Genomic DNA, 27,545 nt, shown 5'->3' with positions numbered 1-27,545 from the left:
CTTTGCAAATGTGTTTATATAATGCTAAAATAACAGGATGGCAAATTAAAATTTTTTATTTAGCATTTGATTTACATGTTATGAAATATGTAAATATTTAGTACTCTGTAAACTAAACACCTGGGTGATAAATTATTTACATCTAATAAAGATGCTTTAATGTTATATCAAATGGGCTATGTATTATCTAATCCCAAGCCTAAACCACTACCATTTAAAAATTTAATGAAAATGAATTGGATATGAAAACGGTTCAATCTATGTTATAGAATAAAACTATAATAGACAAAATAGTACCCTCAAAGATTATGTTTAATATTATCCCAAACAGGTAAATAAAATACATGTGTTTTAGTGATTTACAAAACAGGTCTTTTAAAGTAAATTTAGAACAAATAAAATCAATGGTTTATCCACAAAGTATTTTAAAAAGGTCAGTGTTAGAGATCATTACATTTCTAATACTGAATTTAGAATGGGGTTTAAATGAATTTATTTTCTCCTCTTATGCAAATTGATATCTCTGTGGAGGGAGGGGTGATAGAAGAAAAAACACCACAGCGCATGCATGTGTGTGTGATGTGCGCATGTGTCTGCTTTAGCTGAAAAACGAAGGAACTAATTAAATAACACTCCCGTTGGTTAAAGGAATAGAGTGTTCTTGAGCAGGTAAAATGTTGGCCTTTATCGAAAGTGAGAAACAGGACTGTTGGCCCTGCATTTCTGATTCCTGAGCCCACCAATTTTTCTTTGCCTGCTCACAGAGCAGAAAGCCATATAGTGTTCTAGCAGAACAGAACATGAAAGATTAACCCTGTCCTTCCACTTGAACCAATTTTCGCAAAATGGAATCTAGTGGAAACACACACACACACACACACGGCTCCCCAAATGCACATCGAAAAGTAATCCATTTTTCACTCATCAGATAACAACACTTAATGATTGGGTAACTCAGCTTCATTCCCTATGGCCTTAATGAAAAGGCCAGTTCATTGCATTAGGAAATCAGTGAGATGAATTGTAATGAAGAACTGTGAAATTCTGCCAGGATTTAGCAAAGGCCATGAATAGCCCAGCTTAAAAGTTGAATTTCTTGTTTTCCTTCCTGTGTGGCTCTCTTTGAAAAGACAAGAAAATGGTACATTTGGTCTTCGGAAAATCCATCACAGAGTACGAGGCACTGCCAACTGGTTAGGTTCATCCTAGGTAAACAAAACCGTGGAGGCATTAGGAATACAATGACCAGAGGACACATTTGAAAATAAAGACAAAGTAGCATGTTGAGATTTTCTTGCTACTGTAGTAGAGAAGAGATCTTATTTCATAGAAAATAACACCTGCAGGGCTCAGAGTCCTGGCACATTAAAGTGTTTGGTGCCTCGTGTGCTTGTCACCCATGTGTTCTTTTCTGCCATCACACTGCTCACAGTGAGCTATGCCATTAGTTCCACTATAACGTGACATAGTGGTTCTGAAACTCACCATACGATGCATGATCTACAACAAAAATCACAGGACTTTCAACCAAACAGAATTGGGAGCATAACACTCAAAAATGTCACCAGAAGTACATTTTTTAAACAGATAAGGACCTTGGCTAAGCATGGTGGCTCACGCCTGTAATTCCAGCACTTTGAGAGGCTGAGGCGGGCGGATCACGAGGTCAGGAGATCGAGACCATCCTGGCTAACACGGTGAAACCCCGTCTCTACTAAAAATACAAAAAATCAGCTGGGCGAGGTGGCGGGCGCCTGTAGTCCCAGCTACTTGGGAGGCTGAGGCAGGATAATGGTGTGAATCCCGGGGGCGGAGCCTGCAGTGAGCCGAGATAGTGCCACTGCACTCCAGCCTGGGCGACAGAGAGACTCTGTCTCAAAAAAAAAAAAAAAAAAAAAGTCACAGGACTTTCAACAAAATAGAATTGGGAGCATAGGAGCATACCACTCAAAAATGTTACCGGAAGTGCATTTTTTAAAAAGATAAGGACCTTGGCTAAGCATGGTGGCTCACGCCTGTAATCCCAGCACTTTGAGAGGCTGAGGTGGGAGGATCACTTGAGGCCAGGAGTTTGAGACCAGCCTGGGCAACATAGTGAGTCCCCATCTCTACAAAACATAAAAAATTTAGCTGGGCATGGTGGTGCCTGTGGTCCCAGCTGCTTGAGAGGTTGAAGTGGGAGGAGCCCTTGAGCCCAGGAGCTTGAGGCTGCAGTGAGCTAAGATCTTATCACTGCACTCCAGCTTAGGGAACACAGTGAGACTTTTCCTTTTAAAAATTCAAAATAAAGTAATAAATATGATAATAAATAATAAAAAATAAGAACCCAAGGAAAAGGGTAGCATAGTTTTGCACATGGTCATTGTTAAGAAATGCATAGATACTGTAATAAATATGACATTTTGCCTTGAAAAACCTGAAGTTTACTCAAAACCTGAAGTTTACTCATGGAAGTGGGCACTGGAAGAAATGTTTGCTGTTTTTTAGTTGTCCTGAAGTTGTCTGAAATCTGATGGAAATTTGTAACACCAGGATGGGTGAGCTTATACCACACTGTGAACTGAGGTGGCTGGGAGATGATTGATTTTCTGCGTGTATTCTTACATAGATCAATTGACCTGGGTGCAGATTTTATTGCATTTACCTAGTGTTTCTCAGAGGCAAAATTTCACATTGGTACATAGAAAGTTGGCTCAAATTTTATGCTATGCTCAAGCAGACACATGTTCAAATTGTTCCCTCATATGTCAAGTGAATTGGAAGTAATTTGCATTAAAAAAAGTCATATCATATCAGCTCACCACTGTTGCACTCCAGGAAATTTATCTTACCCTTGAAACATTCTTTCCTTTTTGTTCATCTCAAGTTAGATTTTGTTGTGGTGGTGGTGGTTCTTGTGTTTTAGGCTTTTTTTCCTCAATTCTGTGGCACTAGCTCACTTACATAAAACACCCAAAGTAAATGCTTTTCAATATATCGCATCTGGTTTTTCAGCAATGTGCAGATTTAGAATCTTCTCTGTCTAGGAATCTCACTTTTCCTAAGTATTTTACAAGGATCCAATGTATATATAAAATAACAGGAACACCCACACCATACTTGGCCTCTTTTTCGTCATGTTTTTAATGCTAACCAAAGAAAACAACTTATAAAACATGCACACACGTATGTACATTATAGATCTTCTTGTAAACATCCCTTCTATGATTAAATTGATTCCTGAGGAATTGGCTAAGATAACCAGTACCAAAGTTCATTTTCAAAACTTCCTGTGTCCCTGAAAATGTTTTGTGTTAATAATATGCATTAGTTTTATAGCCACTTAAGATCTCTTTTATGTCAAAGCAGAAACAGAGAGCCAAGATTAAAACAAGGAGAAAATTCCAACACCTCTGTAGAATCAAACGAACATCGACTTTTGAAAATAAAAGCAGAGTTTTGAAAGACCCACTAATAGATTCAGTCTCTTGATGTTTTATCCCAAGGCCTACAGACAGAAAGCAACGGGAAGCTGTACCATCCAGGGACAGAACCCATGAACTGACCTGGACAGGATGATAAATGAGGAACAGGGGAAAAAGTCAGGGCTAGGATCTCTCTCTCACACACACAGACACACACAAAAACAGAGGAAACAAATTCTCAATGTTAATAAACTTCCCAAACAAGGTTACTTTGCCATTTTTAAAAAAAGAAAATAAGGCTGGGTGCGGTGGCTCACGCCTGTAATCCCAGCAATTTGGGAGGCCGAGGCGGCAGGATCACCTGAGGTCGGAGTTCAAGACCAGTCTGACCAACATGGAGAAACCCTGTCTCTATTAAAAATGCAAAATTATCTGGGCATGGTGGCACATGCCTGTAATCCCAGCTACTCTGAGGCAGGAGACTGAGGCAGGAGAATCGCTTGAACCCGGGAGGAGGAGGTTGCAGTGAGCCCAGATCTCTCCATTGCACTCCAGCGTGGGGAGAAAGAGCAACATTCCATCTCAAAGAACAAAAAAAAAAAAAAAAAAAAGAAAGAAAGAAAAAGAAAAGAAAAGAAAAAACGTTTAAAACTTCACGACATTTAGGAATTTTTTTAAAAAAATATGAACCAGTAAATATCTATCTATCAGCCACCCCTGGTCTTTCCTGGGGAACTTTGCTTGTCCTGCCAAATAAGTATAGTATGTAAATGCGATATTTGCTTTCTAGAATTAAAAGGAAATTGGTATATATTTCATACAGGGAGACAAGATTTCATTGATGTCTTACCTATATTCTTTGAAAACAAATGTTTCCATTCCCTTATGAAAGCAATATATTTTGCTTTGTCAGAATGACACAATTCAGTTTCATAAACCATAGATGGCTAGAGAGTCACTTTTCTTTTTTTCTTGAATACTAGAAATTATTAAAACATGAAATTTGATTGTTGAGTAACTATTGCAAATATCCCAAGATTGCTCATGAGCTTTCTAAAGTTTTAGGCAGACAAGGGGAATATATATATATATATTTATATATATATATTTATATATATATATATATTTTTAAATCAGATTCTTTTTAAAATGGGAACTCAAATTACCAATGCCCTTATTGGGTTCCTGTTGTCATATGGTACATGAGACACTTTGTCTCATATGATTGTAATTACCAACATAACCAAGCTATTAGAGTACTGCATCATGGCCGGCCTCTAACATAGCTTAAGGTGATTTATTTAAAAAAAAAAAAAAAAAGAAAGAAACAAAGAAAGAAACAAGAAAAAGAAAGAAAAGAAAGAAAGGAAAAAAGAAAGAAAGAAAGAAAGAAAAAGAAAGAAAGAAAGAAAGAAAGAAAGAAAGAAAGAAAGAAGCAAGCAAGTGAGCTACAGATAAATGAGCTATAGGGATTCCAGAGGCAGAAACTTTGAATTGTATGGTGTATTCGATCTGGCAGCCTGGTCTGAATCCCACTCATTTGGCCCAGCTCAGATATCAGTAATTGGAGGAGACCAAAAAACAGTGTAATCAGCCCAAAGTACTCATGTCTCATCAGTTCTAAGCTTGTGACAGGTGACATGTGTATAGATCCTTGGGACAGAAGGTGCAAGAAATAAGAAGAGCCTAGTGGTGAGAAAAGCCAACTGAAACTCCTAAATATGAGTACAAGTTGTTTGAGTAAAAAAGGTGGAAAAAAAGAAATAGCATACAACTGTTGAAGGTATTTATATTCAGTAGTTCTTATTTCTACTTTAATAGTTTCTTTTTATTTGTTTAATTAGACACGCGTGTTGTTGCTAATCACTAATTTTCCCACTCCTCATGCTCAGCTTCAGGTAATAAGTAAGGCATCTAATCCGCAAGCTCTATCTCTACTGAGTTCTTGGTTGGATACTGTGACCTCAAATGATTTGCTTATTGCTACTACCTAAAACCTGCTGATGCTCCACCTACAGCTGGGCATGGTGGCTCACGCCTGTAATCCCAGCACTTTGAGAGACCAAGGTGGGAGGACTGCTATATAGCTCAGGAGTTCAGGACCAGCATAGGCAACATAGCAAGTCCTCATCTCTCCTACTTTTTTTTTCTTTTTTTTTTTTGAGACGGGATCTCTGTTGGTCAGGCTGAAGTGCAGAGGCATGATCATAGCTCACAGCTCACTGCAGCCTCAGCCTCCTAGGCTCAGGTGATCCTCCCAGCTCAGCCTCCTATCTACTAAAAATTTTTTTTTCACTCCTTTATTTCATTCTTTTTTTTTTTTTTTTTTTTTTTGAGACAGAGTGTCACTCTGTTGCCCAGGCTGGAGTGCAGTGGCACAATCTTGGTTCATTGCAAGCTCCGCCTCACTGGTTCACGCCATTCTCCTGCCTCAGCCTCCCAAGTAGCTGGGACTACAGGTGCCTGCCACCACGCCCGGCTAATTTTTTGTATTTTTAGTGGAGACAGGGTTTCACCATGTTAGCCAGGATGGTCTTGATCTCCTGACCTTGTGGTCTCCCCGCCTCGGACTCTCAAAGTGCTGGGATTACAGACTTGAGCCACCGTGCCAGGCCTACTAAAAATTTTTAAAATGAGCTAGGCTTGGTAGCACATACCTGCAGTCCCAGCTACTCAAAAGGCTGATGCTGGAGGATCACTTGAGCCTGGGAGATTGAGGCTACAGTGAGCTATGATCGCATCACAGCACTTCAACCTGGGTGGCAGAGTGAGACTCTGTAGAAAAAAAAAAAAAAGAAAAGAAAAAGAAAGGAATAAATTTCTAGTATATTTTTGTCACCAAATTTTGGGTCAGTGCCTCACTTCCAATTACGTCGGTCCCATAGCCAGCCTATCATTGGCTTTCTGTACTTTCATGTGGGCCTGTTGGGGGAAAACAAAATTTCAGCGTGGTTGGGGAACACAGATTGAGTGCCCGATACATAGCCAGTCCTTTAAATAGATCAATATTTTCTTTGATATGAAAATCAATGTATTAATGAATTTGTCAAAACCAAACTGTTGAATCATCTGAACATGCTTGTGTTTATGAAAGCACCAAATCCATGCATCATGACATAACAGGAAACAAACTGCTACCATTTCCCCCAAATTAATCAGAAATTGACAAAACAGCTTCACTGATAACCATTTTCCTTGCCTGTCTCTGTGGAGAAGACAATGTGTAGAGGGAACCAGGCATTTTGCCTCTGGGGCACATAATTATATGTGATGATGATTCGTTCTACCTGATACATGGACTGAACCTTCCCATCATCCAGTCAGTTGTACTAGGATGAAATTAAAATATGAAAATAATGGTATACAATTTGTTTTGTAAAATATGAACATATAACTCTTGTGGGGATCTTTTATGAAACAAAAGGTAATCTGGATAATATTATTAAATCTCATCAACCAGTTGACACTTCTGTGTTTTAGAAGGTATCTAAATAAGATGGTTGCCATGAGAAAACAGTAGGTCCTTATTAAATTAAACAAAATTGAACTGGATAATATTGACAAGAAGTCACAAATTGATTACATACTTTGAAAACACCCATCTTAAAATGGAGAGATCTAGCCTGTGGTCTCATCTTTGCCACTTACTCATCTGTGAGCTTGAAATGCCATTTAACTTCCCTTAGTCTCAATTTTTCATGTGTAAAATTAAGATGATTAAGTCAAACCTAAGATTCTTTTCAGCCTAGAAATTCTATGATTTTTGGATAGGTCCCTGTTCTGTTTCTATAATTTATTTGCAATTTGTCTATAGGATTAAGTTAGAAATTTAGACACTTCCCCTATTTCCTTTGCCTTTTTTAAAACATACAACCCAATTATCTATCATATGATTCCTAGTTTTTGGATTTGAATGAAATAAGCAAATTATTTTACCTTAAACGTGACTTTAAATTTTATTTCTGATTTCAGTAATATTGCTGGCCCGTGATATGCTAATCAGCCCTGCCTCTGATAATGGTGCTACAAATCTGCACCTTGTTCAGGCACAGAATTTTTCTCTCCAACCAATACTGATGAAGTGAGTTCAGAGTGTTTTGGGTTTGAGTACAAGCAATTTTACATAGAGTATGTAATCTATATATGGAGCCTGCTCCCTTATTTCCTCCCAGGGTGGAATTGGATGGTGATGGTGGTATTCAGAGCTATGGAAAATGAGTGTTGCTATAAAAAAAAATAGAGGAGGAAACTGTCAGAGAAATGCATCTTTCCTGGCACCTGGATCATGCTCATTTTTGTTCGTAACCCTTTTGTTGGGTTTATCAGTGGACAAAGAAAAGTTGTTCCAAACAACCAGATGGCAAATCCTAAGCTCAGTGAAACCTGAGAGCTGTTTGAACGAGTGCCACATGCACCAAAGAGGCAGTGCCAAAAACAGATGGAAATTCCTCAAACCACATCTATGTGTTAGACAGGGGTTATATGTGTGTGTGTGTGTATATATATATATGTGTGTATATATATGTGTGTGTATATATATATGGTCTTCCATCCAACTTCCAAAAAGCAGTACTTGCTCTGTCTGTACAAGGTATTAGTATCTCTGTATTTCAAACCAGTCTCAGTGGGACTCAAAGATGAATAGGACAGAGTCACTAAACCACAGAATTGCTAAAAAGTGTCACCTTCATCTTCTTTATTGCCTTTATTGGTAAGATGGGGTATCCACTCTCTAGGAAGCAGAGTACTCTTCCCCACTGATAATTCTAACAATTACACTAATTCTTCCTAATAATGCTAAGTGTAACATGAACTCACCATCAAGCCTAGTATAACAAGGAAAATAATAATAATCCTGTCATCGTTCTTTTGTCACTTTAGTTAAATGACCATTCAGAAGTAATGAACCTTCTCATAATATATTTGGGTTGTCTTTGTGCTGGGTATTTCTTAAGGGAAAGCTTATTTCATGACAAGGAAATAGAAACTAGGTTTGTTCTGCAGGTCTTTATTTTTTCCTAAAATAGATACAAAAACAGTACTGCCACTTAGTTGAAAGAGAGTCAGTGGGAGAAAATTCCACAAGGAAACTATCGTGTTGCGCTATTAATAGCAGCTATCTCCTATGTAGCATTTGCTCAGTGCCAGGCAGAGTGCTACGTGCCTTACATGTGTTATCTTGTTTAATCCTTCTAACCTTCTTTGCGAGTAAATACAAAATCATCACTCCCATTTTCCAAATACAAATATTAGCCTGAAAAAGTTAACCTCAAAGTCACACAGGTAGTAAGGGTGCCAGGTTATCTTCATCAGTGTTCTCCCTCCCACTCCCATCCTTTTGCATATGGTACCTGGGGCAGACTAGAAATGACCTTGTCAGTGTCCTTAATCTAAGTAAGAAATGTACTCTGGAATTCAATTTTTTTTTCGGTGTTCTGCAAGGAAGAAAATGCACATTGGCAGAGCCCAGCTATTGACTGAATGTTAATTTTCCTAGGTGTTGCAATTATTTCGAAAGGAAGTAGGAGCCAAACTTCCTTTAAGTCTCATCTTCACCATGAGTGGGCCAAGGTGTTGTGTTAGTCATTCTTCTTCCTTCAACTCTCACCATTTCATTAAAAACCTTTCTTTTCCTCTGGGTGTTGGAACAAGGCTTACATTGTCACCGAAGTAATCTGCAAGGTTGTCACGAGAAAACACCAAGCTCTCTTGAAATAAGCAAGCTTACTGGAGGTCACACAGGGCACTTCATTCATTTCCTGGAACAACTTTGAGCCGTTGAAGCTGATACTGATCTGGAAGTGCCTGGATGTTCTGAACATCCAAACCACAGTATCACTGTAAAAAAAAGAAAGTCACGAACTAGTTCTATGGGATTACCCTAATGGCACTTTCATTTGACACTATAAAGAACAGGTTGAAATTTAACAACTCGAGAAGATCTCAGTAAAGACAAAGAATTATAAGGTTGGAAAGGGATGTTCACTCTCCCTTCAAAATCTGCAGGAAAAGTTGCCCAGCTTCATTTGTTCATTAACTATATTTTAATGTTAACAATTCTGTATAGTGACTTCCCCAGAGGGTTACTTCCAGTCAAACAATGTCAATTATAAATTTTAAATCTCACGAGACTGTTTACTTTAGCATTCAATTACCCAAGCTATGTTACTTAATGTTTTTTTAATTTTTATTTATTTATTTATTTATTTATTTATTTATTATTTTTTTTTTTTTTTGAGATGGAGTCTCACTCTGTCGCCCAGGCTGGAGTGCAGCGGCAGGATCTTGGCTCACTGCAAGCCCCGCCTCCCCTGGTTCACGCCATTCTCCTGCCTCAGCCTCCCGAGTAGCTGGGACTTACGGCACCCGCCACCACGCCCAGCTAATTTTTTGTATTTTTAGTAGAGACGGGATTTCACCGTGTTAGCCAGGATGGTCTCGATCTCCTGACCTCGTGATCCGCCTGCCTCAGCCTCCCAAAGTGCTGGGATTACAGGCGTGAGCCACTGCGCCCGCCTATGTTATTGAACTCATGGGTAAAATAACTAAATTTCATGGGCGAAAAAAATCAGGATTTATGTTCCAGGCAAATATGTTTCTGATTTATGAGTTCATTTCCAAATAAACCACATTTAATTATCCCTTTGATGAACTGATTTTATTTAAAAAAACATGAGGGAATGTAGGCAAACTGCCATAGAAAACCTGATTTCATGGTAATGGGGCATCTATCCTAAGCATGAAACAAAAATAACTGTCACCATTTTGAAAAACCTTAAAGGCTTAGCAACCTCAATATTCTACTATTTTTATTTATTTAAAAAAATTTTTAATTTATCAATTTTTTTTCAAGACAGTTTTGCTCTTGTTGCCCAGGCTGGAATGCATTGGTGCAATGTCAGCTCACTGCAACCTCTGCCTCCGGGGTTCAAGCGATTCTCCTGCCTCAGCCTCCCGAGTAGCTGGGATTACAGGCATGTGCCACTAGGTCTGGCTAATTTTGTATGTTTTAGTAAAGACGGAGTTTCACCATGTTGGTCGGGCTGGTCTCGAACTCCTGACCTCAGGCGATCCACACACCTTTGCCTCCCAAAGTGCTGGGATTACGAGGATGAGCCACCATGCCCAGCTTTTAATTGAGTTAAAAGATATGATAATATTTTTAACTTTAGCTACTAGTTACAATATTTTGAAACCCATGCAAGTTTGCTTTGAAAACACAAAGGATTCTCATGTATTAACCCATTAACACACATAAGTCCACTTAGAATTTTTTTTTTCAAATTCTGTCTACATAATCTATTTTCTATTATTCAGGATCATCAGTGTGGAATGTTAAAAGCCAAAGAATTAGATTTTAGAATTGGAGTTAGAGTTAGAATTTTGTCACATCTAGTAGGCATAATCCAGTGTAATCCAGTTTCACTCCAAATTCTTTTCGATTTTGTCGTCTACTTTCTTGCAGTACTTTGGTCCATGGAATTTCAGGAAGGTGGGTTTTCACAAATCATCAGGAGGGAGAAAAAGCCTGGAGGACCAACAGAACGAAATCTGCTCTATCCTAGAAAAACTGTCCTCTTTCTCTTTTTCTTTCTTGTCTTTATCTTCTCCCGGCCCTGTGATCCCTTCTAAATTTCCCAAAAGGCTGGCTGAGGTCTAGATAGAATTGCAAAACACACACACACAACAGCGGCCAGTGAGGTGGGAATGTCCACACCTTAAACCTTACAAGAATCGTTTATAATAAGAATAGATACTTACAGATTTGAAAGAAAGTTTGTTGTTAAACTGTTGAGTCATTTCCAGAAGTCAGACTTTATTTTATTTTATTTTATTACTTCTACATCACTGAATTAATTTAATCTACCTGAGACCAGAACTCATGAAGATTCGAGGTCTGTAGTCTCACACCACCTACTGTTCCCTGGTTTTACGTTTCCAAGGCTCAGCTGCTCCACACTGCTCCAGTCTCAGTTAAAATGAAACGTTAGTCAGAGGGGCTAGAACACATCTGTAGTATGAAAATATTTGGACAAAAATTTGGACAAGGTACTGTGTATCTCTTACATATAGATTAGTTTGTTTGCCTAATTGTAGAAGTCTAAAGCCTGGAATCATTAAATATACTGTACCAGTCACTTACTAGAGACCCATGCATCTTTCATGAACTTACTCCTGCTTCTTCCCAGGCAAAATGTGCTTCCAGAGCACATTGTTCAGGCTCAAGTATCCCATTTGTAACTACAAATTCTGATGATTTATTTGCATATCTCTCTTCCCCCATCATACTATGAACTCCTCAAGGTCCTGTCTTTATCATCTTGGTATCTACCACCCACCCTCCTGTCTCTCTAACTCTTCGTGGTAACTGAGATGAAACAGGTGCTCAATATGTACTTCTTAAATAAATACAAAAACAAATGAATAAAGGACCTTTGGTTGTCCTTCCTGTGAACTAATACTTTGTTCTTAAGACAAAATTGAGCATATGTTATTTTGCAAGTACAGCTGGCCCTCTGTATCCATGGGTTGTGCATGCATAGATTCAACCAACCTCAGAGCAAAAATATTAAAACAAAATAAAATACAAAACAAATGAAAATACAACAAAATAATAAAAATGAAAAACAACACAGTATAACATCTATTTATATGGCATTTCCATTGTAAGTAATCCAGAGATGATTTTTAAAAAACGTGGGAGGATGTGTGTAGGCTATATGTAAGTAATATGCCATTTTATGGGTGACTTGGATCCTGAAATTTTAAAGTCACCAAGGGCCCTGGAACCAATCTTCCATAGATACCAAGAGATGACTGTATCCTTTCTCAGAAAGTGGGCAGGCATCGTGAGATATAAATTCCTTCCTCAGTCTGATTCTGTTTAATCTTTTTACTATGCTGTGAAGACAAAGCTATAAGCTTCTCATTTGCTGAAGGCAAGCCTGCTTTCCTTTGACTGCATTTTGCAGCCTGCCCTCAGCTCTTCAATTACTCCCATCACACAAAAACACAACTTCATACTTCGGCATGGTTACATCACTGCCAGAGAATCCTCATTTTTCCAGTCTGTTAAAAATGACATTTATTCTTTATTGATTCTATTCAAGATTAATATGCTTTGAAGGCCTATTATGTTGCTCTTGGGACTCAGAAAAATAAAATGACGTCTCAATCAATGGTTGGTTGTGGCGATTAGATACCTTCCAAGACTTTAAAAGAATTAAATGAACACCAACTTTTCTTTAGAATCTTGGCTGATATATCTTAAATAAAGTTTCCTCTTGCAGCCATGATTTTGTGGTAGGATTAAAATGATCAAACTGAATAGTCTGAATTTTGAAAATCAATCACTCCTGTTTGTGCAAGAATTCCAAGGAAGGAAAAATGCTGCAGAGATCAGAGGGCTCATGGTAAGAGAGAAAAGTCCACAGATCCAGTTTCAAAGATCCACCCCCACTATAAGTGTGATACTCAGCAACAAGACACCTGCTTCTGGGGAAGAAACAGGCTTTTAGAGAGTCAGCTGAAAAAGAGGAGCAAAGCCCCAAAACGAAATTGCCTTTGCACCTTTAAGGCTTAAGTAGTAACTGGGAGTTTTTAAGTGTCTTTGACAACATTGAGTGGAGGGATATTATGAAGTTACATTTTCAATTTTCTCCAGTTGCAAAAGAAAATGTAACAGCTGAATCCTAAGTCAGGGCTACAGTATTGCCAACAGAGGACGAAAGAAATCTAAAGGATTTTGCTTCTCTGCATGACCCAGCGATTCCAACAGTGAAAAGTTAGAATGGTAAATTTCCTAACAGCTGAAGCCTCTGGCAGAGTAAAGGCAACACCTGACTGATACGTTATCTTCCTACCGAGGCTCTGCATGTAAGGAAAAATTTCAAGTATTTGCTCAGGTAAGTGAGTCTCTCAGACTGAGAGAGAGCTATACATCTCAGGACTTTTAACTCCAGAAATATTTTTAAAAGTAAGAAACACTTTTAGAGGTTTAAGAGAGGTGGGCTACCTGAGCTCTGTTTCTTACCAGCACGACAACATCACCAGATCTTCTGCAATATTAAGATGAAAATATATTAAGATAAAAGATATTATTATCTGAGAGGCACTGGAACAATCACAGACTCCATCATTTGGTGGCTAGTAATGGTAAATTTACCACCACCACCACCACCACCAACAAAAACAAACAAAACAGCTTCATAGACCTCTCTTACTTGGGTTGGTGTATTATTCTCTGACTGCTTAAATGCTAATACATTCATCTTTTTAAAATCTCTCCCGTAAAGTTCATCTGTAACAGAACGGATAAGTGTAACACAGTGAGTCTTCAGCATTCATGGTAAACTCTAAGGGTTGATACTGATGAGAAACTTACCAAAAATTATGGGAAGAGTCTTTTGATGAAGTAAAATTTGAGCTTTTAATTCAAGTATTCAATTAAATTTAGCTTGTAAATTAAGAATAATTGGGACTTTAAGGTTTTTAGGTGGAACTTCAGGTCATGTTTCTGTTGATTTAACAAATGACATAGAAACTCTTATTTTTCAAATACATTTTCCCTCCTGGGTCTCTAGCTCTTTAAGAATTAACTGTTTTAAATGATCTAGTCTTCATACTTGCAGACAGAGACTTAGCTCTAATAATATGATTAATTAGTTTCTCTATCAGATAATAACATGAAAAATATTAGAATCAGGAAATAAACTCCAAAGACTAATCATTTAAAGATATAATAAGATATATACTATATATAATAATCCTGTCATTAGATGGACCTCTCATTTTAAAACATAATAAAATGTGTAGTTTAAAAACCTAAAATCAGCCCTATGAAACGTGTTAGAAGCTTGGAAGTTGCCACAAGTCAAAGTGAAACTGCCTTTGCAAAAAATCATAAGTGAGGAAATTATGTCGGTGAAACAGACCTAACTGACCCCTTCTTCCTTCTAACCTTGAAACTGTGTTTGTTCATTCCGGGGTGTAGGCCAAACTAGCCTTGGGAAGGAATTTATAGTTTAAACTCTGAAATAAAATTGATAACAGTCCTTTCCTGAAAAACCCTTTCTTGCCTGGGGACCAGTCTGCCTTTGTAGGACTAATAAATTAGCTACAAGATTAGAAATTACGGTTTAGGGGCCATGCAGCCTCTGACTGCAAGAGTCTGAACCTTCCCAAAATCGCTCCTGGGAATAACATCACTATGGTAAAACCTAAGATCAGTGTTTAAGATATTTACAGACCCTGCGTTCTGATATAGCACATGACATCACTCAGATGACGCCACTCAGACTGATAATACAGCTCAGCCAGTTCTGCGATCCCACCCAGGAATGAATGTAAGCCAGCAAGAACTCACTTCGACCCCCTATGATTTTACCTTCAACCCAACCAATTAGCACTCCTCACTTTCCAAGCCCATACCCGACAAACTATCCTTAAAAACTCTGATCTGGGAGACTGATTTGAGTAATAATAAAACTCCGATCTCCCACACAGCTGACTCTGCTTGAATTACTCTCTCTCCATTGCAATTCCCCTGTCTGGATAAGCTGGCCCTGTCTAGGCAGCAGGCAAGGTGAACACTTGATTACAAAAGGATGAAGAAACTGAAGAATCAACAACTCTTAGATCGATCAGAGAAGCGAGGGCACAGGGCAAACCACTGCCTCCAAAACTGGGTAAGTCAAGAGGTGAATTAAAAAAAAAATCACAGCTTATTAGAACAGAAACCTCCAAGGGAATCAGTTTTGAGTAGGAAAACCTGAGCTGTAATTGATGAATTTCTGGAGGTCAGTGTAAACAAGTCCAAGGATTAAAAACTCCAGGGAGATCCAGTCCTGGAGTAGGTGGTTGAGGGGAGGAGAGACACACTTTTGAATTTTGCCTCCAGGAGTTGCACCAAGTTCTCACAGTAAATATTGGCAAAAAAATTTTAAAAATTAAAAATCCCCTTATGCTTCTGGCAGAGGAAGGGGAAAGGAGGCATTTTGACATACACTAGAGAGCATTCTTGTCTTCTTAATAAGATATCTCATCAGGAGAAACTAGTTAACTAGTTAACTCATATACTGGGAGAAAATTTTTGCCAAAGACCTATCTGATAAAGAACTATTATTCAATTATATACAAAGAACTCTTAAATCTCAACAATAAGAAAACAAACAATCCAATTGAAAAAATAAGCCAAAGACTTAACAGCCTCCTTACCAAAGAAGATATACAGATGGCAAATAAGCATATGAAAAAATACTCCATATCATATGTCATCAGAGAAATGCAAATTTAAGCAATAATTTGATACCACTATATACTTATTAGAATGATCAAAATCCAGAATACTGACATTAAATGCTGGGGAAACTGTGGAGCAACAGGATCTCTGATTTATTGCTGGTGCCAATACAAAATGGTACAGCCACTTTGGAAGACAGATCGGTGGTTTCTTATAAAACTAAACATACTCTGACCATATAATCCTGCAATTGAGCCCCTTGGTATTTACCCAAAGGGGATGAAAACTTACGTCACACAAGAATCTGTACTCAAATGTTTATAGTAGCTTTATTGATAATTTCTAAAAATTCAAAGCAACCAAGATGTCCTTCAGTAGGTGAATGGATAAAAATATCTGTGGTACATCTAGACAATAAAATATTATTAAGCACTAGAAAGAAATGGGCTTTCAAATCATACTAAAAGGTGGAGGAAACTTAAATGCATATTAGTAAGTAAAAGAAACTAATCTGAAAATTCTACGTACTGCGTGACTCCAGCTATATAAGATTTTGGAAAACAGAAGAAAGATCAGTGTTTTCCAGGAGTTAGGGGAAGGGAAGTATGAATAGGCAAAGCACAGGGTAGTTTTAAGGCAGTGAAACAACTCTACATGATACTGTAATAATGGATAGATGTCATTATAAATTTGTCCAAACCCATAGAATGTATAACACCAAGTGTGAATCCTAATGTAAAGTATGGACTTTGACTGATAGTGATATGTCAGTGTAGGTTCATCAGTTATAGCAGATGTACCCCTCTGGTAGGGATGTTTGATAACACGAGATGCTATGTATGTTTGAGGGCAGCAGATATACAGGAAATCTGTGTACCTCCCACTTAATTTTGCTACAAACCTAAAATGGTTCTAAAAACTAAAGACCATCCAAAAAAACAAAAACAAAAAACGAATCATTCATGATGGCTTCTGTACTCAAAGGAAAACAGCAAAAGTGTAAAATGTTAGTGTTATAGATGAATGTTAAATGCATAGGTTGTCAGAGAGACTTTCAAGTGTCATTTCTTCTCTATGAGCTCAGTTTCCTCATGTTTTGAGTGTAGAAGTTGGTTCAAAATGATCTTTAATTGCGACATAGCTCAACCTGAAGCAATTAATTACGAAAATGAATACTCAGAAACAAACGTTATTAATATTTATTCCAAAGACAATACTACAGCCACTATACTTCAGACAGAAGCATCTAGACCAAAGCCGATAGCACTAATTTAATACGATAGAAAAGGAAATCTTCTTTGGTATTATTGCAAAAAATTTAAGTTTTTACTTACCTACTCACAGGCTTAAAGTTTCTTGCTTCAGCACTTTCTTTAAGTTTCTCTTGTTATCTCTGGCTCAGAAAAGTACTTTTTCTGCTCCGGTTAATCTCTGTTATCCCCTTTTATCAGAATCTTGGTCTGATATCCAGTCCAGTTGGTCTCTTAGGACACTTAGATATCTGTGAAATTCTAAAGCTGATATTATGCTGACATAATGTTCAACAAACATTCTCTCCTTCAGCCAAACCACATTATCACCAAATATTTGGGGAGAAACACACATGAGATAGACGCATTCAAGGAAACAACATCAAAGCATCCATTACTTAATCTTTGTCTTGCCCTGGAGATTCACACCCTTTTTCCCAACACAGGCAGCCTCTGAGCTTCAAGTTGACTTATGACTTGACAATGTGGATTTTACAGAGTCCAAGACTCAAGAAGAATCACAGATGATGTCTTCCACATCTTGATACCCCTTAACAAACACATAATGCACATTGCCATTTTACACTCCTGTGAAACTCTTATCCATCTTTTTTGTGCCTCACACAAGTTTCATCAGCAACTCATCTGGAAGTCTTGCCTGCATATCATAGCTGTTAATCATATGCCAACTCTTTGCTCTTAACATACTTTTATTTTACACCTGCAATATTATAATGTAATTACATTTATGCAGGTTTGTGCCTCCTCACAGACTGGAAGAATCTCGATGATAGGACCTATGGCTGAGTCTTTGTCTAAATCCTTCATAGAACCTATTAGAATGTCTGGCAAATAGGAGGTCCAGATAAAATATTTTTAGAGCTATTAAATGCATTAAAATGTGAATTAAGCAACAGATCCCTCTACTTAGAAGAACCTTCAAAGGCTAAGAGGTAATTTGCCTTTAATCCCTCCAGCAATGCTGCATTATCCACCCAGCATTAGCATTGAGCACCTCTATGTATTACTAGTTCTTTTAGTGGTGTAGAAAACCACAAAAATTTATTGAAAAATAGAAAAAAGAATCAGAAAAATGCAGATGCACATTATGTCCCAGGGGATGTGAAGAATGCTCATTATTACACATGTCAACTCTCAGGTTATTTCGTAAGTGTCATTCACTTCTGATCCAAGTTTAAGTAACAGTAATCCAAAATTAAGTAACCAAATTTAAGTATGGGAAATTGACAACATGACTGCAAAATTCAAATAAAAGAATAAATCTATTAGGATGTCTAAGAAAAACATGGGGAATTAGAGTCATGCAAGTGAGTTGAATTATTGGGTGCTAAAGTATTATAAAGTCATAACAAATAAGTCAATGATGAAGAAGCCAGATTATACCGGCAGATACCTCTAAGACTAGGTTTCCCTGAAGCAAATTCTAAAAAGTGGAATAGGAAAATATTTGATAAAGATCACAGTGCCCACTAATGAGAAAGGAATGTATATTCAATAACAATTATTGCAGTAGTTGCCTAGCTATTAATTATTATTATTGGTTTTTTTTTTGAGACAAGAGTCTCCCTTTGTTGCCCAGGCCAGAGTGCAGTGGTGTGATCTTGACTCACTGCAACCTCCACCTCCCAGATTGTTCAAGCAATTCTAGCGCCTCAGCCTCTGGAGAAGCTGGGATTACAAGCACATGCGACCATGCCCGGCTAATTTTTTGTATTTTTATAGAGACAGAGTTTCGCCATGTTGCCCAAGCCGGTCTTGAACACTTGAGCTCAGGCAATCCAACTGCCTTGGCTTCCCAAAGTGCTAGGATTACAGGCATGAGCTACCATGTCCATCCAGTAATTGACTAGCTATTTAGAAAATAAACCAGTTTAGACACTGTCTCTATACTATACACCAAAATAACATCCAAAGAAATTTTTCAAATTAAACCATAATAAAGTTCAAATAAAATAGAGGTAAAAGTGTATTTGATCACCAGATAGGTAGTGACCATTTAAGCGATGACGGAAATGTACCTTCACTACCATTCTCATAGGTAGTATTTATTGAACATTTTCTGTGTGCTAGGTAATGTGTAAAGTGATTTCTTTATATGCTATTCTCATTGGGTTCTCAAAGCAAGAACGTGATGTAGATACTCTTAGTGACTCCATTTTAGCAATGTGGAAGTTGAGGCACAGGGAGTTTTAGTAACTTGCGAAAGGTCACACAGCCAGAAAGTGGAAGAATTACGGTGTGAACCTGGACCGTCTGATTCTAGAAATTGTGCTCTTAAATTTTTACCATCTAAAATATGTACGGTGGAAATAAAATTGGAGAGGAAAAGATAAAATGATGAGAGAAAAAACAGACAAATGGGCCAAGATAGAAATAAAAATATTAAAATAGAAATACGAAAGGAAAATAAATGTAAAAAATGTTGAATTTTTGTAACCTGTCATGTGCACGCAAACCTAATACATTGAGATATCTTTTTTTAAAAAACCGTAAAATTCATGCAGCATTTTTGTTTACTTGTTTTCCTTTACAAATGATTGTACTTAGAACAAGTGAGATCTTAGGGAGGGATTACTTAGGCATTGCCAAACTGCTTTCCAGAAATGACACACCAATTTACATGCCCAAGTGGCAAAAGAATTAAAAGGCTTAAAAATATTTATAGCTTTTGACCTAGAAATTCCACTTCTAGGAAACTATTCTAAGGATAGTTTTGGAAATGCAGACGAAGTCTTAACCATAGAGATGTTTGTTGAAATTTTTTATTAGAATAGAGAAATTTTGGGAATCATCTAAATCCCCAGCAATAAGAAAATAGTTGAGTACATTACACTTATACTATAGCAGAGAGGTTGGCAAACTATGGTCTGTGGGCCAAAGTCCAGACCATTGAATATTTATCTATTTTTACCTGCTTTTGTGAATAAAGTTTTATACAAACACAGCCCTGTTCTTTCATTTATATATGGTCTATGGTTGCTTTCATGATTCAAGGTGAGAGTTGACTAGTTGCTGCAGAGATTGTATAGCTTGCAAAGACTAAATTATTTATTATCTGGACCTCTACAGAAAAATTTTGCTGATCCCTGTTGTAGCCAGCCAGTTATATTTTTTTATTTTTTTAAAAAAAGTTTAATGGCAAGGATCAAATGTGAAACTTGTAACCTTAAATGAAATAGAAACCTATTTATTCTGATCTATTAACACAATGATTACTTCGTGATAATGATGCCAATAGGTGTGGTACAAAAACATTGGTATTTCACAATAGCCAATTTTACAAGGTAGTGGGTTTATATTATGACTGTAAACTCACTTAAGCTCAAATATCTTTTTTGGTAATTTTTTTCTTAGTACTAACACTTCTGACAATGTGTATCATATCTTTTTGCCTCTACACAACCAGTACTGCACAAACATTCATCTGTGATAACTTATGAAATTTAAATATCCAAAGGCCAGCAAAGCTACTGCCAATATGATGTCATTTATTTTATTAAGGACGACTTTTTTGCCCAGCTGACTTCTTGATCCAATGACCATCCTTTTTCGTGGTGCATCAAATTCTGAAATTAGCTGACTGACCTATTGGGTAACCATTGCCTGGAAAATTAGGTCACTGTACCACTATGTCTGTTTTTGGGATCTTAAGAAATTACAAAGATGACGGTAGACCGTCCCTAGTTGCTCCACCTTTTAAAACAAACAATGCCTTCCAGCTAATAAATCAGCAGGAAGGAGCTGACAGGACAGGGATCTGTGTTCACTTCTCTAAGTTGTTTTTGTCTGGTTCAGAAATCATTAGCACCTGATACTAGTTTCAGTGTTCACCCAATGGGAAGGGAAAGGGGTAATTCCCAGGCCAGGTTTCTGTCAGACGGGAGACAATTCAATGCAGACAATACTTTGAAGATAAAAAGACTTGCAAACTTCCTTTTTTTTTCTTTTTTAATATAAGACAGGATCTTGCTATGTTGCCCAGGCTGGTCTTGAATTCTTGGGCTCGTGCAATCCTCCCAACTCCTTAGCCTCTCAATTAGCTGGGATTATAGGCACTGGCCACCACGCCTGGCTCTATGGCTTGCAAACTTTCAAATACTATGCACCAGTACCTTAACAGAATTGCTAATGTAGTTGTCATAGTAGCTCCATAGTAGAAACAACAGCAAAACTTTCAATAACAATAATTAATTATTAATTACTTTTTAAAAATTGGAGAAAATAGTATTGTACCAAACAGTAAAGAAGTCAAACTAGAATTTCTATTAAAGAATTGCCTCTTTCAGGAGGTGCCTGTATTATTCACAATTGCTTCCTATTAACTGAACTAGGAAACAAGAAATCAAAATTGGCTCTGAATTCAACTATTTCTGTAATAATACAAAATATAGCCATCATATTTGGGAACAGATATTACATTTTATTTGTTTAGGTGATTGGATATGAACAATACTGAATGTTTAACTTATGGTTTATTTACTTGTTTTTTTTTTTAAATAAGCATACGGTCTATCCTTCCTTTAAATGTTTTTTCTGTACTTAATGTGCTACAAATACGTGTATGGCAAATCCAGAAAGTAAGAAATTACAACCTTATTTGTTAGGAAATTCAAAGTCCAGAGAGAGATAACAAGTAACAGAACAGGAAAATGAGGACAATAAGTGAAAACTTGGCTGTATAACCAAAAGCTAAGAGGAGAGGTGGGGAAAAGTTTACACAGGTAACTTAAGGTGGTTCTTGAGGACAAAAGAAGAATTCTTTGGGTAGTCAGGGTAAGAGAGGTCATTTCAGGTAGAGAGAAACCATGTGAAAAAGCATAAAGCACAAAATGGCTCCGAGTAGCCAGATTCTGTGGGAACTGTGAGAGGCTTCAAAGAAAGCCTGGAGGTATATGAAATGCAGGATCGCAAAGAGCTCTATGTGCCGAGATAAGGAGACTGGATTTATCCTCCAGGTAGTGGAAAGCTGATTACATTTTTTTTCTAACATTTTAGAAGTATCAATCAGGCAACACTGGAGAGGATGGATTAAAAGTTCAGAGGAGAATCAGGGGCAGAGGCTGGTAGGATGTCACGGCAATAAGAGAGAAGAGAGATGATAAAGCTTATTATTGTAATGAGCAGAAGAGCAATTATATGAAATATTTAGAATAGCAGTGGCCAATAGAATTCTAACGAAAGCCACATATGTAAGTTTTAATTTGCTATTAACCACATTGAGAAAGTAAAACAAAGTGTATGCAATTAATTTTAATAAAGCATTTTATTTAACCTAATAGACATAAAATATTGTCATCTTAACATGTAATTGATACAAAAATCTTCTGTGAGATATTGTACATTCTTTTTAGGTGCTAATTTTTCAAAAATCCAGTGTATACTTTTAACTAAAATCCAGTGTATAGTTTAAACCAAAATCCAGCGTATAGTTTAAACTAAAATCCAGTGTATAGTTTAAACTAAAATCCAGTGTATACTTTAAACTAAAATCCAGCGTATAGTTTAAACTAAAATCCAGCGTATAGTTTAAACTAAAATCCAGTGTATAGTTTAAACTAAAATCCAGTGTATAGTTTAAACTAAAATCCAGTGTATAGTTTAAACTTAGAGTGTTATCTCAATTTTGGCTAGCCACGTTTCAAATGCTCAATCACCACGTTAGTGACTGCCATTTTGGACAGTGCAGATTTAGAAAATAGAATCTGCAAGACACAATGGTCAATTGGATAAATGATGATAATAAAAGAACAATATCTACCATTCATTGAGTACTAAATATGAGACAGGGATAATAATCATATATTATCTCATTTACACTCATACAATCCTGTCAGGTAGGATTTTTTTGACACCATAACAGGCTTAAAGAGATTAACTAGATGAAAATCACATAACTTGTAGTGACAAAATTTGAACCAAGGTCTGTGGAATGGGATAGCTCAGACTCTTAACCACTAGACAATACTGCCTTTGAATACTTATAAAAGTGGAAAGAGGAATTGAGGTTGATTCTGATCATGCTAGCATGAAAAAGCTGATTGATAGATAATTATACCACTTACGGCTATTGCTGTTAAGGGAGAAATCACAGGTGTAAAAGAGGAAGATAATGAGCTGGTTTTAGAGTTGTTGACTGAAAAATATTATTTCCCCCTACTGTTTGTTTATTGTCTGTTGAGCCAAACTAGAGTATAAAATCTCTGAGTACAGATATTATTGTCTGTTTGTTATTGTTGTATGACAAGTGCCTAGAATAGTGGCAAGCATTCTGTCGGTATGAAAAAAATGTTAAATAAATAAATAGATGTCTGGATAGATGGATAGATGAATTAATATCCATAAGATACCACTAATAAGAAAATTGGTGAAAATTTCAGGTAGGAAATAAAGATTTAGGAATGACCATATTTACGAGATAGTTAAACATGGGATATTGACTGAGATCTCACATAAAAAACATAAATACTGAGAAGAAAAGGGAACCATGGTGGATGTTAACCCAAGTGGGTTTTGGAGAAAAATGAAAGTGGAGAAGGAAACCAGGAAATACAATTCAGAGAAGTAGAGTAAATAAAGGAAACAATCATATTGAGAAACTCAAGAGAGGTGAGAATTTCAGAAGAAGGGAATATGCCTCCATGTCCAATAAAGAATCAATGTCAACTCTATAGAGATTGTGGTGAGTCCATTGGGTTTGGCAAGATGAAGTTTATTGGCTGCTTCATAAGGCTTGTTTTGCTGGAAAAGAAAGAATAAGAAACAGGTTGCTCCTGGTTGAAGAACTAACTGAAGTCTGACAATTGAGAGAATGAATAAAGATGCTTGACTGTGCATTGCTTTTTATAATGACTGATTGGAAGCAAAACAATTTCAAAAATAGGAGATTGGTTAAATAAAGTACACCCTTATTAGTGAAGCCGATATAATTCTTGTAAGCTTCTACTCAGGTATACAAAGAAGTTGCTTTATTTTTTCAACCCAATTTTTTTCTTTTACAATAAGAAAGCAATCCATTCTGGAAATTCCCCTTCCTCACCCGTGCAGTCATTTCTAAGTTACTGAATTCTTCAGTAAAATAGGGTGATGGGAGAGAGAGAGAGGAGAAGGATAAGGCAACTGGTCATTGGTTGGCATCTGTGGGTATATGATCCATGGGTTTATTATTCAGCCTTACTCTTGGCTGTGGTTGTCTCTTTTCCCTTCGTTATTGAGATGTCCACATGCTTGTCTGGTCCTGAATGCTGCCACTGCAGATTTCTCATGTGATGTGCCCTTGGCTCAGGTTCCCTTCATTTTGGCCAATACATTTTTGTTCATCTTACACCCACATCCCTTACAAAAGCATAGAATAGTGTGACCCTTCTCCCAGAGCAGTCTGCAGCCACAGACGTCCTGGGACTGCACCAGACTCTCTCTGCCTCACTTTTATTGCTGCTCAACTCTTATTATGGCGGTGTTGGAAATTTGGGAATGCCAAGCCCAATTGCTCTCTATTCTCAGATCATATCATTTAGAGATTATCTTCCCTACCCCCTAGGTTTAGTATGAAAGGGGCATAACACAAGCCTACTTATTTCCAACTCTCATCCCTTGCTTATAAGATCCTAGTTATGGGCGGGCGCGGTGGCTCACGCCTGTAATTCCAGCACTTTGGGAGGCCGAGGCAGGCAGATCACTTGGGGTAGGGAGTTTGAGGCCAGCCTGACCAACACGGAGGAACCCCGTCTCTACTAAAAAAAATACAAAATTAGCCGGGTATGGTGACGCATGCCTGTAATCCCAGCTACTCAGGAGGCTGAGGCAGGAGAATCGCTTGAACCCGGGAGGCGGAGGTTGTGGTGAGCTGTGATCACGCCATTGCACACCAGCCTAGGCAAAAAAAGTGAAACTCTGTCTCACACCAAAAAAAAAAAAAAAAAAAAAAAAAAAAAGATCCTAGTTATGGTGACCATGAACACTACTCACAGTTATAGCATAAAATTTTCAACACCAGATTCCTGAAATACTCATAAACTCAACATTTCCTTTCTATTATCTCTAGTTCCTCTACTTTGAGTTATGAAAGTGTCTTTTTAAAATGCTACCCATGCTTCTTCAGTAACACATTTAGGTTAAGAATATTAAGTCTGGTATATATGGAGAGACTGAGAAGGAGGTAGTGATGAGCAGGTGCAAGGGTAGGAGATGGTGTCAGGGAGGGAGTACAGGAGGAAACACATTAGTTAATACTTCAAAATATTATTCAGCTACACCATGGAATACAATTTAGCCACTAGCAATGGCATTGTAGATTGAAATGCAATGTAACTGAACTATCTTCAAAATATTAAAAATGAAATATTTATATTATAAAATAACGTGAACAGTATAGATCCATTTTATGATTCCAAAGTACCTTTATGCATAGAGGTATCCTAGAAATATATAAAAGTTGGTAACAATGATCATCTCTAGTTATTAATATATGGTTGTGCCTTCCAACTTCTTCTCTCTATTCCTGTATCTCTCTCTTCTATGACTATTCTATTTCTTAACTTTATATAATGAGCATGTTTTCCTTTGCAATAAAAACATCCTCAGTTTTCATTTTTTTCAAAGCTGTGGAGGGCAGAAGAGTGATAGGTAGTAGCTGGAAGGAGATGCAAGGTCAAAGGAGGGTTTGTTTGGAATTGCAGAAGTTTGTTCATGTTTATAACTGAAAGGAAGGAGCCAGTAGAGAAGGAAAGGCTGAAGATATGGAGAAAAAGGGGGTCATTGTTGGGGCAAGGTCTTAAAGAAAAACAGAGGGTATGCAATGTAGGATCAAGAGTACAACTGGAAGGATTGCTGTCATCCCAAAAAGAAACACTTCTTTCTTTAAGAGAGAGAGAAAAAAGATGTATTTGTATACCTAAATATTTATAGGAGAGCAGAAACAGGACTAGGGAGAGTATGAGGAAGCCATGCGAGAGTTCATCCTCCTGGGCATGAGGGTGGGCCTCTCTACAAAGGGCTTGAGACAAATAGCTTGCCAGAGCTTCTATGAGAATAGAAGAACTCATTGAAGACAAGCAAATCATTGCCCTAATTGCCCAATGATACTGAATGAGCAGTTGAAGTAGGGCCTATACTTTTTAAAGGCACCAAGCCACACATTTGTAAAATTTTCTCTGGCTGTGCTCAAAGATCTGAGTACAGGAGCAGAAATAGATTCAGGATCCAAATTTTCAGGGCAGAGTGATTCCAATAAATGGGGGGAAAGGGTTCGAGTTTGTCAGGAGGCTTCATAAATTTTGTAATAGCCAAATAATATATTTGAAGCCCTTGAAAAATGAAAAGCCAAGAGACAGCTCAAAATTATTTTTGTCTTCTGTTTCAATCACTGAGGTCACCTCTCTTTAGAATCATGAAAGTGAACAATAAATAACCAACTCCTTTTTCTAAACGATCTTCTCTGGGAAGCACAAAAGCAGATTCTTGCTTTTCAAAGAAAACAATCATCTTTTCTAGGAATTTTGGACCTCAGAGTAATCCATAAAATAGTTATTGCAATACATTGGCTTCTTATTATTCTTAGGATTCCTTCTCTCAGCATCAAAGGAAGAAACCTCCAGATCAGGTTATGACCTTCCTAATCAGAAAGAACAATGTCTTCCTTTGCAGTAGATGCTTATAAGTCTTCCACCACACTTTCCTGTGGCCTATTGTAATTTTCACATATCATAATCTCTCCGTAATCCTGCCTTTCTAATAGGGGTTTCAGTTTTATCTTCTCAGAGAGAACAACACAATCTAAGAGCTATCTAATTCTTTAGCTTTTGCATTTTTCCCTTCTTAGTATTGGAGCCATTCCAGAAAACAGCTCTAGTCAAAAGGACTATTTACGTCTATCGTCGGACATTATTATTGAGGAAAAACAACTGCACGCAGATGTTGCAGTACTTTTCACGGGCATAGAAATGATCATGATGAAAAAGCGCTGTTTCAAAGATATGAACGGACGTGAAGAAACCCATAAACCCAGGTTTAAATTCAGGAGCAGGCTTTACTTTCTCTTATTCATAGTAAGCCCTGTTGAAAAATTGGAAACAATACTTTACATCACTTATTATTTACACAATTCTTTCCCCAAGTATTCAATGATTTTCTACTGCCTGTCTCTATCAATCAAACTTTAGTCTGCATGCAGAATGTGGGTGATTCACTGGCCCCTGCTTTTAACCTCTCAGGCTATTTTTCAAACCCTTGGAACCAGCTAAGCAGCTTTGCTCATGATTCCTCAAACAGGTCTCAAGTAATACTGCTCAACACCTTTGCTCTTTCTGATGGCTCTCCCTACCCACTCTCCACTTACCCTCTTAGTCAATGCAAGACCACCTTCTCTAGGGACCTCTGCAATTCGCCATCTTCTGTGGTCACTGGTTTCTCTGCACAATTTGAACATAGAACCCTCTGGGACCCTTGTAAAAATACACATTCCCAAATGGTGGTTACCAGAGGCTCGCGCTGATAAGATGGATAGAGAGGTGCTAGTCAAAGGCTACAGCATTTCAATTAGGAGGAATAAGTTCAAGACATGTATTGTACAACATGGTGCCTATAGTAAATAACAATACGTTGTATTCTTGAAAATTGCTTAGAGTACATTTT

The 27,545-nt window shown here is 37.4% G+C and overlaps 2 long non-coding RNA genes across 3 annotated transcripts in view; one reads left to right on the top strand and one right to left on the bottom strand.

Annotated features, from left to right (window-relative positions):
• LOC105371881 (uncharacterized) overlaps window positions 1-27,545 on the top strand; it is a 78,916-nt gene that overhangs the window by 6,418 nt on the left and 44,953 nt on the right. The window lies entirely within an intron of this gene.
• Window positions 295-17,119, bottom strand: LINC01028 (long intergenic non-protein coding RNA 1028). Of its 2 annotated transcripts, NR_104129.1 has the most exons (3): window positions 16,980-17,119; window positions 6,058-6,179; window positions 295-1,205 (listed from the first exon to the last, which is right to left on the bottom strand). It is a non-coding gene; the product is annotated as a long intergenic non-protein coding RNA 1028 (long non-coding RNA). The 2 variants fall into 2 exon arrangements; NR_104130.1 differs by lacking the exon at window positions 6,058-6,179.

This window comes from Homo sapiens, chromosome 17, assembly GCF_000001405.40.
Source record: "Homo sapiens chromosome 17, GRCh38.p14 Primary Assembly".
NCBI lineage: Eukaryota > Metazoa > Chordata > Mammalia > Primates > Hominidae > Homo > Homo sapiens.
Note: the sequence above shows the minus strand (reverse complement) of the source record. Positions and strands in the feature narration are given on the sequence as shown.